The 16,988-nt window shown below is 48.0% G+C and overlaps 1 protein-coding gene across 1 annotated transcript in view, besides 3 other annotated features; it reads left to right on the plus strand.

The window, feature by feature from the left end:
* The window catches only part of WDR37 (WD repeat domain 37), a 75,988-nt gene extending 59,433 nt beyond the window's left edge, over positions 1-16,555 (plus strand). The window contains exons 12-14 of the mRNA NM_014023.4: positions 8,401-8,535; positions 9,093-9,207; positions 13,396-16,555. Coding sequence (NP_054742.2) covers positions 8,401-8,535; positions 9,093-9,207; positions 13,396-13,527 — 382 coding nt within the window. The 3' untranslated portion in view covers positions 13,528-16,555. The remainder of the gene's footprint in view (positions 1-8,400; positions 8,536-9,092; positions 9,208-13,395) is intronic.
* Positions 1,672-2,173: an enhancer, noted in NCBI's record as "H3K4me1 hESC enhancer chr10:1163429-1163930 (GRCh37/hg19 assembly coordinates)". NCBI's record gives its function as "activates a minimal SCP1, AML or CMV promoter by ChIP-STARR-seq in naive H9 embryonic stem cells {active_cell/tissue: H9 hESC(naive)}" and the evidence as "EXISTENCE:reporter gene assay evidence [ECO:0000049][PMID:30033119]".
* Positions 4,703-5,344: an enhancer, noted in NCBI's record as "H3K4me1 hESC enhancer chr10:1166460-1167101 (GRCh37/hg19 assembly coordinates)". NCBI's record gives its function as "activates a minimal SCP1, AML or CMV promoter by ChIP-STARR-seq in naive H9 embryonic stem cells {active_cell/tissue: H9 hESC(naive)}" and the evidence as "EXISTENCE:reporter gene assay evidence [ECO:0000049][PMID:30033119]".
* Positions 5,345-5,985: an enhancer, noted in NCBI's record as "H3K27ac-H3K4me1 hESC enhancer chr10:1167102-1167742 (GRCh37/hg19 assembly coordinates)". NCBI's record gives its function as "activates a minimal SCP1, AML or CMV promoter by ChIP-STARR-seq in naive H9 embryonic stem cells {active_cell/tissue: H9 hESC(naive)}" and the evidence as "EXISTENCE:reporter gene assay evidence [ECO:0000049][PMID:30033119]".
* Positions 16,556-16,988: the final 433 nt, after the last annotated feature.

The raw sequence follows: 16,988 nt of genomic DNA on the forward strand, positions 1-16,988 counted from the left end.
TGACTTTGCAGACAGCAGGGCCCTGTGGAAGGGCCTCTGGGGCGGAAGTGACATGGAGATGAGGACGGCCTGCAGGCTGTGGGGCCTTGGAAGCACACCTGTGTCTCCTCTCAGTGTTACATCCCCTACCCATATGCCTGAAAGCTTGGTGGTTGTCTTTTTAATTAGATTACATTAGAGTACTTTAACAAAATGTTGTATGTATTCATGGGGTGTGAGTGCAGTTTTGCTACCTTGATGTACTCCACTCAGGTGAGGCCAGGGCCTTCAGCATACCCCTCATTGGAGTGATGCTCGTTGCACGCACCAGGCAACCTCCCGTCATCCACCCCGCCCCAGGTCTCCACTCTGTCCATCAGTCTTGTATCCACCCCACCCTGGGTTGTCTCTGCCCTGTCCATCAGTCCTCCCGTCATCCCCCCTGCCCTGGGTCATCTCTGCCCTGTCCATCACCCACCCCGCCCCGGGTCTCTGCCATGTCTCTCAGTCCTCCCGTCACCCACCCCTCCCCGGGTCTCTGTTCTGTCTCTCAGTCCTCCCGTCACCCACCTCACCCTGGGTCTCCACCCTGTCTGTCAGTCCTCCGCTGTCCCTGTGTGCACGTAGTTTTGCTCCCACTTGCCAAGGAGGACACACGCTCTTTGTCTTTCAGTGTTTGCATTGTTTCACTTAAGATAATGGCCCCCAGTTCTATCCATGTTGCTGCATAAATTAATAAAGGTGATTTTATTTTTAGGAAGTGTATAGATTTATATAAATACAACTCTTAATAATAACTGGCTGATATCCAAGGTTATCATAAAACCCAGGCTAGGGTCACTAAGGACTCCATCTGTCGCCCGTGACAGCTTTTCGGAGCTTTGCTGGTTGGCCTGAGTATGGTGCAGATTCCAGAGAACTGTAGTGGGCAGCAGTTGGCGGGAACAGAACCTCACTGCAGCAGTCATGTTCAGGGGTGGTCTTGGGTGTTTCCTTTGTATTAGTTAGTGAATGTTTTGTCTTGTGACCACAGAAACTGCCAAGGAGACGTTAGCAGATACAGTGTGCAGCTGGGCACACCTAGGCCCAGTGGTTCTTTCTGTGCAAAGGAGAATCCTTGTCTCTTACCAGCAGAGCAGCGCTGTCCGTGCCACCACCTGCAGAGCTGCCGTTCCATCCTCCTCTCTCAGTGTCCTGTGATATGAACCTAACAGTAACTTCCTGAGCCAGTCCCTTGTTGATGCATGTTTTTAAATTTTTATTGGTTTATTTTTTTGAGACAGGGCGTCACCCTCTCGCCTAGGCTGGACTGCAGTGGCATGATCACGGCTCACTGCAATCTCGACTTCCTGGGCTCAAGTGATCCTCCCACCTCACCCTCCTGAGTAGCAGGGACTACAGGGCTGTGCCACCACTCCCTGCTAATGTTTGTATTTTTTGTAGAGATGGAGTCTCACCATGTTGCTTAGGCTGCTCTCGAAATCTTGGCCGCAAGTGATCCTCTTGCCTCAGCCTCCAAAGTGCTGGGATTACAGGCATGACCCACTGAGCCTGGCTGCCTATTGATGCATTTTAAAGTCGCTTCCAAGTTAGAATATTGTTTTTAAAAGTGAGAGGAGATTTAGTGTATCTCTGTTTTACCCTTTTAAAGTTCCTCATTTAAGAAGGGCTACTCAGGAACTCATAAATAAGGACTTAAGGAAATGATTGCGTTTGAATCGCTCTACTGGACAGCTTTGTTTCGGCCTGTCAGATTCTGTCACTTTTCTTTGAGATGACTGTAAGACAGCCATCAGGCTATTGACACATACTCAAAACTTCCTAACTGTGAGGTACTTCAGGACAGACTCCGGAGACAGGTGGGGGTGTCTGAGTCCACAAGTCAGCAGAAACCAGCATGATACGCAGAGCGGGCAGCATGGGGAGGGGTGGCTGCCTAAAGCGTCAGCTGACGTTTGGAAAAGATGGTGGTGACCATGCTGTGTGCATGGCCACTGCAGAGCCAGGGCCCGGGTGGCATGTGAGGGTCGCCTGGCAGCCTCTTATCAGCATCTGCGCTGCGTGCACTCAGCCACCCTCAGCCAGCTCTGTTTGAAGTCCCTGCACGCATCTGAGCCGCGTGCACTCAGCCACCCTCAACCAGCTCTGTTTGAAGTCCCTGCACACATCTGAGCCGCGTGCACTCAGCCACCCTCAGCCAGCCCTACTTGAAGTCCCTGCACACATCTGAGCCGTGTGCACTCAGCCACCCTCAGCCAGCTCTGTTTGAAGTCCCTGCACGCATCTGAGCCAGGTGCACTCAGCCACCCTCAGCCAGCTGTTTGAAGTCCATGCACACATCTGAGCCGCGTGCACTCAGCCACCCTCAGCCAGCCCTACTTGAAGTCCCTGCACACATCTGAGCCGTGTGCACTCAGCCACCCTCAGCCAGCTCTGTTTGAAGTCCCTGCACGCATCTGAGCCAGGTGCACTCAGCCACCCTCAGCCAGCTGTTTGAAGTCCATGCACACATCTGAGCCGCGTGCACTCAGCCACCCTCAGCCAGCCCTACTTGAAGTCCCTGCACACATCTGAGCCACGTGCACTCAGCCACCCTCAGCCAGCTCTGTTTGAAGTCCCTGCACACATCTGAGCTGCGTGCACTCAGCCACCCTCAGCCAGCTCTGTTTGAAGTCCCTGCACACATCTGAGCTGCGTGCACTCAGCCACCCTCAGCCAGCTCTGGTTGAAGTCCCTGCACACATCTGAGCTGCGTGCACTCAGCCACCCTCAGCCAGCTCTGCATGAAGTCCCTGCAGGCATCTGAGCTGCAGGGTTTCTGGTGCTCAGCAGCAGAGCAGAGAAACACTTCATTTAACACCATCTTTGGAGAGCACGATGTTCCACAGAAGCGATTTCTCCAATGATCCCTCAAGAACCAACACTTTGTAAAAAAAAAGACTATTTCGTGTGTGTGTGTAAGAGAGGGACATACCAGTGCTTTAGGAGTGTGCACGCACTGCCACGCTGTCTCCCTGCCCTGATGGCCCCGCAGCCTGGGCGTTACTGTTTGTCTCTGTTGAGTGTTTTGTTTCAGCTTCTCTGGAAGTCAGCTGTTGCTTTTTGCCATTTTTGTGCTGGTTTCTAATGCTGTTTCTCACTCAATCCCACTGATTTCTCTTACTTACTGCTCCTGAACATTCTAAAACTGATAACGTAGAAATGAAAATGAACCCTGAATAAAAGACTAAGGGCCATTCCTATGAAGAAAAAACATGAGTGCATCGGCGTTAGGAATTTCTTCTGTATACCAGAAGGCCGTGCTGCAAAACAAGTCAAGAGCATATATTTGGAAAATACGTCTGTACAGGCTCCTGCAGATGCAGTGGTTGTGAGAAACGGTCTCTGTCCTTGGTAGCCTTGACGTTCTAGGATGATAAGATCAGTACACGAGACAGAGCAGAGCAAGAGAACACAGAGCTGAGTGCTGTTACTGAGTCCAGGCACCACAGGTCAGTGTTTCTGTAATGGGTCTTCTTTCTTTGTGTCATAGCCAAGGTGAAGCTCTTCAGCTAGCAGAAGAGTGTTCTCACTGTGCCCCCATAGCTCATGGATCTCATCTTTAGAATCTTATTTTTGGCCGGATGAGGTGGTCAGGTTATACTGAACTAAATGTTCTCTTTGAATAGTCTGTGGAAAGGTTCTTACTAATTCAGTTAGTCAAATCTTAGGGAGGCTTTAGCATAGTCTGAAGTCACTTTAGAAGCCCTTCTCTGTGGGCCATGGTAAACACAGATGTTGCAGAGGCTTCTTGTAGCTTTGCTGTGGTGCCTGTTGGCAGCACTTCCAGGCCTTAGGGTGCTGTTGTGCGCCTAACACTGCTGACCTTATAATATTATAAGTGGCCAGTCACTTGCCCCCTTCGCTGGGAGGAGGGAGGCGTCACTGGAGTGACTTTACCTCCTCCTCTTCTGCACACTGTCTGACGAGGAGCGGGGCCTGCACACAGCCAGTGCTTAATAAATATTTGTTGCATGAACAGTTCTGTAGTGCAGCCCTTATCAGTGACTTAGTTGGGAAATCTCTCATTATTTCTGCCGAGAGGGGTTTGGAGAGTAGCATGGCCCCATGAGACTACTGAGGTAGAACTATGCATTAGGAGAACTGACTTCTCCAGGGAACAGTTGAATTTGAAATTCTGAAAAAGAATCACATGTGATACATACTTGATTTTTGCTTTGATTGATTTTTATCTGAAGGGTCCACTTTTTGGGGAGGTAGCCATCAAGGAGTATTGAGAAATGTGTCTTATTTGAATGTGACTTCTCCGTTTCTTGGTCAGTCCTCTGAGTTCGTCAAATGAATGCTTGTGTGAGTTCTTGAATTCCAAAAGGCGTGGGTGATGAGAAAGGCCGGGATGGAGCTTCGGAGACCCCGAGTGTGCATTTGGGCTGCCTGGCTGTGAAGAGAAGACCTGTTTAATGTGTTAGGAGTTGGATTTCATGCAGATAGCTTGGAAGTTGCAGGAAGGGCTCTGATGACTCCAAACACAACACAGCTACCCCATGTCTTCCCTTGCGCTATGAAGCGCCGCCTCCGAGGGGCACCCGGGGGTCCTGGCTGGCTTATTGGGGTGTCCTTTGGTTACTTACTCAGGGCACTGTTTTAAAGTCAGGACTGTTGGCGACGCAGGTGTTGTACTTTTGTATCAGCGCTGTAACAGAACAGTTGACATGCCAAAGTAATAAAGTAATAAAGCCACAGTGCTGCCTGTTTCACAGCTGTTCATTTTCAAAGATCTGTTCTCGGTACCTTGACTGAGAAGCCTGGGTTCCAAGGAAGGGGCTGCCGTCCACAGGACTCCCTCTCTGTGGACACACAGGCGTGCTCCTCAGATGTGAACACATTACCTTGAGGAAGCTGCGTTTTAAAAATAGGAAAGGAAACGATCGTCAGTGTTTGATGTCGTGCCGGAAAAGCACTCCCATCAGCGCTTTGTGGCCCAGTGTTTTCCACATCGTGTCGTCTTTTCCTTAGTGAAATTTCGGCAGATTGTTATGCAGAAGCGGTTCTGTGTCTCTGTGTGACTGGGAGACAGCTGTTCATCCTAATGAGGATGCCAGCTTCGCGGCGTTTCCGCTGATGGAGACCCGCGGAGGGAGCGGAATGTTCCAGACCAGGCAGTGGTGTGCGGCGAGGAGGTGCTGCACTGTCAGCTGGAGGAGCACGCTCGGCTGCCCCACACGACAAGATAAATGAGTTTGCCGGAGTTTGGCAGCGTCGGAACCATTTCCAGTGCACGGCCGTGCGCGCCAGCCTCCCCATGGGACCTGTGGGCTGAGGGTGCCTTGGAAACTGCTGCCTCTTTGCCAGTTCTTTTTTCTTTTGATGTCCGACAATACTTGTCAGGATTGTGATTTATTAAAAACCTAATGTCTTTTAGCATTTCATTAACATGGAGTTAGGCGATCTTTTGTTGAGCCTTTTTTCCTATTAATTTAGCAGAATGTTCACTGAAACTTAACTTGGCCAAACCTCCTGAAGACTCCAGTTCAAAGAGAAGTTGGGGGCACCTCTCCTCTCATTCTTCCAGGCTCCCCCAGCAGCCGAAGTCCTCTAAGCCTCATTGTAACCTTCTCACTGAAGCGTGGCAGCGTCTGATTTATAGTCAAGCTCTCATGTTGTTCTTTATTTTTTTAGATGAAGACTCTGGAGGAGTTACTGGGTTGATTTTGCAGTCTCTCTCCTCTGCCCATGCTGCTCTCGTAACCCGTGCTGCTCTCGTTACCCAGGCTGGGCGTTTGCTTGTGTCCTGCCCCGTGTGATGCCGTGGTTTCCAGTTGGGCAGTTTCCCCCCAGGAGACAGTGTTTGTTGTCACCCCTGGGGAGGGGTCTGCTCTAGTTTCTAATGTGCCTGGGCAGGGCGGCTGCTACATCCACAGGCCAGGATGCTGCACCACAGGGAAGGGCCCCGACCAGACATCAGGTCCTAGCGGGGGAATAAGTGTCAGCAATCCACACCGCAGCTGTGGGCACCACGACCAGGCCTTTGAGAATGCAGACGTGAAAACGGTCGCCGCCGCATCATCCTGACTGTGTTCCGGGGTCTCGGTGTCAGAGCGTGTTGCCAGGTGTTGTTGACGCACCTTGATTCTCAGTAGCTTTGCTGTACTTTGATGTTATATTTTTAAAAACCTTGTCTTAATGCAGTGGAACTTAGACGTAATTAGGACTCAGCTGGTGTCCACTAAATGAGGAGGATTTTCATAAATGGGCTTTGTGACTGCGTGGTGCTTCTCTCATCCAGGGCCGCATAGAGCATGAAATCCCATGTCACGGTACAGCTTCAGTGGCTGGGACAACTGGCATTTAACTGGACTCCAGAGTTCCAAGCAATTTTGATGGACTGGACCTCGATGAGGGTAGATGTGGAAACCAAGCTTTTGGTCCACATTAAATTAGTGATTTGTGACGACAAGAGGACACTTCCTTCATGGATAGGTGGAAATTCACATGCTTATCATCTCGTAGGTATCTCAGCTGCTTCAGTGCGGGGTGAGGCGGGTTTTGAGCCCCTGTACAGAGTGAGTGACCCCAGTTTTTGTGCCCTGGGAGACAGTGTAGGGGTCAAGCCTGTGTCTCTCTGAGAAGGCACTGCCCCTGCGTCTCAGGATCTGCCCACTCTGCCCTGAAGTCAGACCATGCCTTCCTGGGTGGGCCACTCATGCCCAGCTGCATGGCGAGCATGGGGACCCACCCCAGCCCTGAGCCAGGCAGGACGCGCAGCCCCCTGGCCGTTGCTGAAGACAGCAGTGGATCATGCCTGGATTGTGTGCCCTTAGCTCACGGGGAAAGTAAGGTTTTTATCACATTCTTTTTACTGAACTTTGCCAGTGAGCAAAGAGGTGATTGAATTTTCTTCTTCAAATGTCATTTTATTATTTGAGTTCTAAATACCTTCTGGCAAGTGCCAGAGACTTTCCTTTGATCACTGGTTAAGGTAATCACCCCAGCCACTGCCAGCACAGCCTCAGCTGGTGAGGACATGATTTCCTCTGCAGATTTTGCCTGGGTTTCTTCAGTGATTCTCAGTGCAATTCAAGTGATAACATCCTTTGTTTACATGTTTAATCCGATTTTACCACGGGTAAGACTATTTAATATACTTAGCACCATGTCAAACACTTTTTTTTACATTTCAGAAGAAAAGTTTATGAAAGAGTTTAACATAAACTGATGAAACCTTTCTTCCCCCTCTCTTCTTGTTTTTATGGTACTTTTCATCTTTAGGGCGTGGGTCTCCCATCTTAGCCATTTCAGGGCCTCTTCGGTTCCTCGAGCCTCTCCCTGAGGGCCACATATTTCAACACATTTGAATTAAAAAGAAAACTATTAATTATTATTTTGGATTTATAGAAGCAGGTTCCAAGAGTGGTTGTGATGTTGAATTTTTCTCCTCAAACTTTTTAAGATAAAGATTGTGGTTAAATATACATAATATGAAACTTACTATTTTAACTGTTTTTATGTGTGTACTTCAGTGGCATTAAATCAATTCACATTGTTGTGCAACCACCAGCACTATTTCCTATGCTTTTTCATTATCTCAAATGGAAACTCTGCACTTGTGAAACTATTCATGCCCATCCCCCAGACCCCGAGAACCTCTGTTCTACTTCCTGTTTCTCTGAATTTGCCTAGTCCAGGGATCTTAGATGAGGGGGATTCTTGAAAGTTCATTCATGTCATAGCACGTGTTAGAGTTTCTTTTTTTACGACTGAATAATATTCCATTGTGTGTACACGCCGCATTAAATCCATCTGCTGATGGACATGTGGGTTGTTTGCACCTCTTTGGCTGTTGTCAGTAATGCTACTGTGAATTCTGGTGTGTGGGGCTTCTTGGCTGTTTGTATATCTTCTTTGGGAAAATGTTGATCCAAGTCCTTTGTCCGTGTTTGAATTGTTGTCAGAGTGTTTTTCTCTTAACTCCTGTGTTATGATTACATTGATTGAGAGTTGTTGTTGGAATGGATTTCTTTTAAATTCTCTGCTATAGACCAAGATATGTTATGATTACATTGATTGACAGTTGTTGTTGGAATGGATTTTTTAAATTCTCTGCCATAGACCCAGATGTGTAGACATTTGGGCATGTTCTGTCCAACCCTACTTTCTGTAACCTCTCTTCGTTCCGTTGCCTGTAGATGTGGAATAGAGTAGAATGGACTGTGTGTTTCTGATCCACTGGGAAGAAATCAGTTGTCCTTTTCTTGCACTGGTGGAGAGGCTTTGGGAGGCGGGAGCAGTTTGCAGAGGAGAGAGCTGTGAGTTTGCGCTTCTCCGACCTCCTTCCCACCCACTTGGTCAGGGTTGTGTGTGGGGTGTGGTGTCACGTCCTGCACCTGCTGTTGCATCTGACTCTGTGCCCTTTGTTCATAGCACTGTGACTTCTGCCGTGTTCACCGTGGGAGACAACGTGGTTTCAGGCAGCGATGACCGCACGGTGAAAGTCTGGGACTTGAAAAATATGAGATCCCCCATTGCAACTATTCGCACGGACTCTGCCATTAACAGGTAAAGTCAAACTGTTGGTTAAGTAAGTGGCTTAGTTTGATGTGAAAGGATTGATTGTGATTTCATGTTTTATTCATGGAGGTTTAATTGATAGAACCCCGGGAACAATGGTTTAGGCTCCTTTGTCCTCTAATGCAGTTTCAGTATTCCATGAAAACTTAAACTAACTTAGCCTAAAACCAGGTTGGATCAGTGAGATTTGTGAGAATGAGAATGACCCGTTTGTGGCAGACATGCAGGGCTTCTCTTGACTTCTTGTGAGGATTGGTCTTGTGTCTGGGTGGGTCTGGTTCTACCATTGAGCAGTGTGTGTGTGTGTGTGTGTGTGTGTGTGTGTGTGTATTGTGTGTATGTGCATGGGGTCTGTGTGATCTTGTAGCTACGTGTGAGTAACTTGGTCTCTTTTGAATACCGTAAGCAGGTGGTACACGCAGTGTGTTCATGTAGTCGGCCTTGAAATGTGAATAATATGGAACCTCCTGCTTCATTATCTGTCAACTCAAAAACTTACAGTGTCACTGTTTCATGCACAACCCACTTTTACCTCTTCTTTGCAGGATCAATGTATGTGTCGGCCAAAAAATCATAGCCCTCCCCCATGACAACCGACAAGTGAGACTGTTTGATATGTCAGGAGTGCGCCTGGCGCGGCTTCCCCGGAGCAGCCGACAGGTAACAGCACGGTCGGTGAACATATGCAGGGCACAGTGGAGGAGGACGGGTAGAGATATTTTACATTCTCATTTTCTTACTAAGTCTTTGCATGCTAAGTTTTCCTTGGAAATGCTTGAGCTGTATTTAGAGTTCATAAAATTTAAAATTGAAGAAGTAGAGTTGTACACTCAAGTTATTCCACACCTACTTCAGTGTTTTTTTTTTTTGAGACAGAGTTTTGCTCTTGTTGCCCAGGCTGGAGTGCAGTGGCATGATCTCACGGCAACCTCTGTCTCCCAGGTTCAAGCAATTCTTCTGCCTCAGCCTCAGCCTCAATCTCCCGAGTAGCTGAGATTACAGGCATGCGCCACCACGCCTGGCTAATTTTGTTAGTCAGGCTGGTTAGTTAGTCAGGCTGGTCTTGAACTCCTGACCTCAGGTGATCTGCCCTCCTCCGCCTCCCAAAGTGCTAGGATTACAGGCGTGAGCCACCGTGCCCAGCCCAGTGTTCTTAATACCATGATCGGCTTTTCAGTTTACAAATAAAGAAAACATGCAGCTCCTCTGTTTCACAGGCATGCGGAACGAGCTCTTTGGTGCACGTGTTAGTGGTGGTGGCTCTGTGGGGAAGCCGTCTTAGATGTCTGCAGTTGTGTCTGTGCAGATTGGAAGTGTTGAGTGGGCATTGTGGCCAGGCAGAAGCTGGGTTGGTTGTAGGCTGGGGGTCTTTAAGGTGGGACCTCTTCCACCTCCAGCCAGAAGAACACGTTTCTATGGCAGGCTGTTGCGACAGGAAGAAATATATTTAAATGTTAGTTTCTTGTTAGTGAAGGGTTGCTCCTTGCTAACTTCAGAAGACGGCGGAGGGAGTTTCTCGCTATGTGCTGTTCAGCCCACCCGTCCTGGTTGCCTGGAAGGCGCAAAGAGAATCGAGACTCCATGGCACCCGCACAGATGCAGAGGCCCAGGGGGCCTGGGGGCCCGTGTTCAGATTCCCTGGCGGCTCTGCTGTGCTCTGCAGCCGGGCCTCACTATAATGTGGGTGGCGTTTGCTGTTGGCTCTCCCCTGGGAGGTCACAGGGTCAGCTGCGATGCACAGAAACTCCCCGGGGTCAGTGGCTGGTCGCAGTGGCTGACGCCTGTAATCGTAGCACTTTGGGAGGCTGAGGCGGGCAGATCACGAGGTCAGGAGATCGAGACCATCCTGACTAACACGGTGAAACCCTGTCTCTAATAAAAATACAAAAAAATCAGCCAGGCGTGGTGGCGGGCGTCTGTAGTCCCAGCTACTCGGGAGGCTGAGGCAGGAGAATGGCGTGAACCCAGGAGGCGGAGCTTGCAGTGAGCTGAGATCGCGCCACTGCACTCCAGCCTGGGCGACAGAGCGAGACTGTGTCTCAGAAAAAAAAAAAAGAAACTCCCCGTGGTCGAGGCAGCGTCTGCCCAGCCTTGTGCGTAATGGAGGCCCCCCCAGAGGATCCCTCTTTCCTGTCTTCTTTTGATTTTGTTGGAGTACTGTCTGGATACCTGTGTGAGTAAATGGATTTGTTCCCCGAGGCCTCCTGTGGCTGCACAGGGCCACACGCCTGCCGGCAGCTTGGGTGGCCCCCTCAGTGCCTCTGTGGCTCCTTCTGTGGACACCAGCTCATGGCTCGTGGGCCGCAGCTGCTCTGCACGGGGTGTGAGCCTCAGAACCTGCAGGCAGGCCGGGTGGTCAGGGAGGCACGTGCGAAAGTGGGGGTTCTCTCAGCGCAGCAACACCTTTTCTTCCGGTAGCACAGACTTTCTGGAAATGAGCTTCCCTGAGACCGGGTGTCTCTTCAGTCCCCTTCCTGGCATGAGAGTGCACTGTTTGAAGTTAATTATTGAGTTTTTACTCCTCGATACACATCCAAATAGTGGAGTAGAAAAATTTCATGAAATTAGAGTGACTAAAATATGCTTCACAACCCTTAACACAGCCATAAATTGCTTGTCCTGGGGAAGCTTTTCATGTTTTGTTAACAGCTGAGCATCACTCATGTGTCCTCACAGCTGCATCTTAGACACAGTAGAATGTTCTCTTTTCAATGTGCCCATGCGGATTTTAAAATTTCTGTGCAGCATGTAAAGTTTGCATTTTGAAACACAAATTCATGAAAACTATTTGTTTATGACTGTGAACTATGACTTTATTACTTTGAGAGTATTTTCCCTCAGAAAAACGGAATTCTGAATGGTTCTTCTTGGCCTTAATTCTGTGTAGACAGTTTTATTTTCAGTTATCTGTGAACATTCAACTTTGTTGATGTTGTAGGATTCTGTTGTGCCTGGGTTTATTCCCTCCTAAAGTGGTATGTGAAATAGATTTATTTTTAAGATTAATGAATGTGATTTAACTTTATTTAGAACTTGTAACACCTCTTCAGATAAATAAATGTGGTTTTCAGTGTCACAGAACCCTGCTGGAAATCACTGACTTATATTGTCCTTACTTCTTCAGCTGACTGACTTGAAAAAGAGAAAACAAAACACTTATTTGAGCCTTTAAGTAGTGGAGTGAAAGGGACTGATTGAAAATATTTCCCTGTAGTGCTGGAGTAGGTGTCACTTCCCAGCATGAGTTTTGGGAAAGCGAGCTTGGTGGAGAGTCAGGAGGTCCGGGGTCAGGGTTCCTGTGAAGAGCAGGCTCATTGGGCGTGAGGGTCCCTGCGCAAGGGTCTCTGTGACGTGGAGGCTCACGGAGTGTGAGGGTCCCTGTGATGTGGAGGCCCGTGGGGCCCCGTGCTGAGCGTCCTGGAGCACATCACGTGCACTGGGGCTCATGACGGCATGGGGCGTCTTCCGGGTGCATCTGCTTCCTGGGTGGCAATGCTGTGGGCGCATGAGAGATGGAAATCCCATGGGAGCTCTGCCGGAGGTGAAAGCCTGGCTGGCTTTCTTCTGGAAGCTCTTTGGCACTTCTGCAGCGAATGCCTTGAGTTTCACTGTGCAGAGCTCTTGCCCACAGCCTTGGTTTTGCCTCCAGTTAGTGGATGCATTGCTGCTTCCTTTTTTGTGCCTTTTGTAACCCTTTGTTATGTGGTCTTTCTTATAATTATTTTATTTTTCTGGCCTTTTGTGGATGTCTTTCCAGATGTATAAATAGCTATTGTGGTTCTCTCTCCAGATGTATAAATAGCATATTTATGGGGGAATATTTTCAGGAGAACTTTATGCCATTCTTTGAGTGTTTCTTAATCTGTCAACTTTACTTAATACTGACTCACTCTTGTACCTGATGCTGTAACAGCAACGTATCAGAGCTGTTGTGTAGTTTAGAAAATGCAGATGGGTGCTAAGGCACTGCTTACAGATATTCTAAGTGTTGGCTAAGAGCCTGCATCTGCTATGTACATACACACCGATATGCTATTGCTCTGTCACATATTTTGCAGTAACTTTTCCAGCATGCTGATATTTAACTGGAATTGCTGAAGATGGCAGGAATCTACCTAAAAGGCCATTTATTTATCCTTGTTTTATATGACACCAAATGTATTTTTGTAGTTCCATTATTACTGAAGCCAGTTATTTGTTAAAATGCAATTTGAAGTCTTTGAGTGAATATCATTTAATTTACCTCTAAATATCTCCTAGCTTCATTTATTCAAAAATTTCACATTGATCATTTATTTTTTTGTCTGACTGTAATCTTACTCATTTTCTTAAAGAAGGACTCATACAGTGCTTTTGGGCGGGTTCCACCAACCCTCGTGCTCACTGGTGTCTCGGCATCACTCATTCTGGCCTGGCTGCACGTCCTGGCGGCTCTGCCGTGCTCGGCGGTCCATGCTCGGCGGTCCATGCTCGGTGGTCCTGCTCAGTGGTCCATGCTCGGCGGTCCATGCTCGGTGGTCCTGCTCAGTGGTCCATGCTTGGTGGTCCATGCTCTATGGTCCATGGGGTGCTCGGTGGTCCGTGCTCGGCGGTGGTTGGTGCTCGGCAGTCCATGATCTGTGGCCCATGCACGGTGGTCCATGATCTGTGGCCCATGCACGGTGGTCCATGATCTGTGGTCCATGCTTGGTGGTCCGTGCTCGGTGGTCCATGGGACTGATCCTGCACACCATGTTGTTTTCCTATAACTTACGTACTTTGAGTGATGTGGTTATTCATTTCGCTGAGGTCTTATAATCTTACTTTCGGGAATAATGCACTGATTTTGGTTTGTTTGATCATCACTAGGGCCACAGGAGAATGGTATGCTGCTCGGCATGGAGTGAAGACCACCCCGTGTGCAATCTGTTCACCTGTGGGTTTGACCGGCAAGCCATTGGTTGGAACATCAACATCCCTGCATTGCTACAAGAAAAATAAGGACACCGGCAGCCCTTAGTTTCACTGTTTGCCAGCACAGACCTTTGATGGGTGCAGGCTTTTCTGCGTATTAATCAGCCATTTTTGTGAGAGTTTGACCCTGGAAAGGGTGCTTTGTATATGTTCTTTTCACATAGTGCCCAGCTTGCATGAAATGTACAGAGAAATGTGTGGTCGTATTTTTTACTTTTGTCTTGTATATGTATGTATATTGGGTCCTCTGGGCAGTAGAGGCAAAGCTCACCTCCCATGTAGCACATGAAATGCTTGTGAGTTGTTGACATTGGACAGGTGAACAGTAGGGCATTACATTTGTGTGAATTAAATGTGAACTTCTGTATTACGTTGCGGCGTCGGCAGTCCTGCGTTCCCTGGAGTAACTGTACGTATCTGCCTTTGCTGGGAAGACTGTGGGGCTGCCTGTGTTGGCTGGCGACCAGCAGGATTGCTCCAGGATTTTGTGTTTACCTCGCGTGAAGTTCAGCACGTGCTGTCGTGTAGTCAGCTTCTACTCTAATTTCTGTTACAGTTCTGCAAAGGTAACCTGGAGTTTAGAAGTTAAAAAAAAGCATGGGATGTTGGATTTGCACCATTTGGAGTTTCTTTAGGAAAGAAAAGTTTTCTGCTTTTTTATAGAAAATCATTTCAGTCTCCCGAGGTCTCATGCTAGCAAATTTTGAAATAGGATTCTAATCACTGATTTCAAATATTAAGCAAAATGTAAAGCACTTTAATTTATAGCTATGGTTATAAACAGGTTTTAGATGTTTCAAATGACTTGTCCACTGAATGTCACTTGACCTTGATAAGAGGCCGCCTGCACACAGAGCCCAGTTAATTCTCCGCACCTCGGTTGTGTGCTTCCGAATGGGCTCACTCCCGTGGTGGTGTTTGAGAGCCAACAACACTACCTCAGAGACGGGTCTTTGGGAAACTTTGGGTCTCACTGTTGCCTGGCTGGAGCACTTTGGTTTATAGCTGGAATACTGAGTTCAGTTCAGAAGGCAGGAAAGACAGTCACACCGACGTGTCCTGAAGGTGTAGGCTCTCCACTTAGGCGCACAAGCTGACGGCTGCAGCCAGCAGGCCCCGGTGACGAGACACTTCCAGGTCTTGTGGTGGGGACGCCTCTCAGTGCCAGTCCCGCCACTGCTGAGTGAGCCTGGTGTTCTTGCCTTCTTGGAAATTACTGCTCACCTGGTATCTGTACGTTAATGTTTCTTGCTGAGTTACAGTTTTGATAAAGAGGCTCTCATTTCCTGTGTCTTGTATATTCAGTCCTTTCAATACGTCCACCTGGAGGCTCACCACTTGGAGAGACACAGGAAGGTAATATTTACAGCTGTCATGTGACATCCCCAGGTCTTTGTGTTTTGCCCTGTTTTACGGTGAGGTAGGAGGGAACCCATCTGGGGACCGGTAGGTGCAGGTGCAGTAGGACGTGGGACTTTTGGACCCGTCCTTTGGTGCAGCTCGCCAGGGATGAGAGGCACCTCCCTACTTGGGTCTTCAGGAGCTGGTCCAAGGAGCTTCGAATCTAAGTCATCTAGAATGACCCTGAAATGACTGACAGCCCCGGGCCCAAGAAAAACCCATAACCACCTCAGATGGATCTGACGTGGCTAAGGGACAAACAGCAAATATTTCAGTCATTTTGATTTTACAAATAAAAAATGTGTTGTGTTTTTGTCCGACATTATTTCCTGACTGCACTGTTCTGAGAATGGAGTCCACCTGGTCCCTCTGGTTGATTAGAATCTCAGGTTTCAGCTCCTGCTGTCCTGAGCGAACTTGCCTGATGCAGGGCTGTGCTGTGTCCAGATGTTGCTGGGGCCTCACTTTTTCTCTTGGCTGGAGGTCCAATTGCCAGAGCCTCCCACACTGCACATACAAAGGTCTGAGCCCAGGGCAGCTTCTGGGGCCACTGCACAGGCCACCTGCTTGGGTTCCTCGGAGTTTAATTTGAAAGTCTGGGTGTCTTAGGATGATGGTTAGGAACATTGAAAAATGGCTGCAAATAGCCAAATCAAACTTAAGAACCAGATCTCTGCCAGATTAAACATTTTTGAAGCTTTTAAAAGTCAATATTCCTAGTGGCCACTGAGTTCCAGGCACACTGGTGCCCTTTACTGCCACAGCTGCTCACCTTGTCTGGCAAACTGGAGGGACCTCAGAAACTGGACTCCTGCATGTCCTTGGGGGCGCAGCCCTGTGGTGCTCAGGCAGAGCTCTCAGGAGCCGGGGCACCTTGCTGTTCGCTGCTGTGTCGTCTTCTAATGTGAGCTCATCCACTGCTGCTGCAGCGTGGTGATCAGGAGTCACAGACAAGATCGGGGATGGTGTGTGTGTGTGTGTGTGTGTGTGTGTGCACGTGTGTGTGGCTAAATTAAGTCATACTGTCAACCACACGTGATCTCGTCTGAAACAGTGTTTGGAAGTGGGAACAGTTTTGTCCTGTATGCTGATGTGTCCAGAATTTCATTTAATGATAGACGGAAAATGTGTGGTTACTGAAAACTGTATATGATACAGAATTTCATAAGAGCCATGCTGTTGGGCAAAGCAACTCTTTTTCAACCACTGCTCATCAGTTTCTGTAGAGACAAAAACTCTGTACATATTTTGGAATCTGAAGAATCCTATGTAAATCATTTGTTACTTAAGTCTGTGAAAAACATATTTCTTTGGAGGAAAATGTATGCATTTATAAGTGTTCCATGGAATCAGTTTTTATTGTATCGATATAATTGTCTCTAAGTGTTGACTGTCTTCATTGCAATATGAAATTCATTAAAATGTCCATGTTCCATAATTACTATTATAAAAGCTTTGTGTTATTGGGAGTCTTATTATTTTTATAGTTTTTCATGTTTTGCTTTGGTGAAACATTGTGAATGACTATATAAACATCACGATGAGCTAGAAATTGAACAAATATAATACTGGTCACTCGAAAAATTTTTAGACTTAAAAAGTCAGTTGTGTTTTGTGTCTGTCTCTTATGCTAACATTAAACAATACATAATTATGTTGCTTCATCCCTCATCAGGAGCCTGAAAACTTCCAAAAGCGTTAACAGTTTGACATAATTTTTGGTAAAGTTCCTCAGTATAATAAAATGCTCATACCGTTCTCATTGCAGTAAGCTTGTTTGAAAGTTAAAAAAAAATACAGTTACAGAAAGTAGGTGCCATTTTCTGTGGGAGAATGCAAACCAGACTGGGAGTGGCTCCTGGGGGCTCCTGGTGCATGGCCATGTCTGACCCACGCGTGGAGGCTGAGGCTGTGGCTGAGGCCATGGCTGAAGCTGAGGCCGAGGCTGAGACCAGGACTGGTGCTGTGGCTGTGGCTGAGGCTGAGGCCTAGGTTGGGGCTGAGGCTGGGGCTGAGGCTGAGGCTGGGGCGGAGGCTTTGGTTGAGGCTGTGGCCGAGGCTGAGACCAGGGCTGTGGCTGTGGTGGT

The sequence above is a fragment of the Homo sapiens genome, chromosome 10, assembly GCF_000001405.40.
Source record: "Homo sapiens chromosome 10, GRCh38.p14 Primary Assembly".
Lineage (NCBI taxonomy): Eukaryota > Metazoa > Chordata > Mammalia > Primates > Hominidae > Homo > Homo sapiens.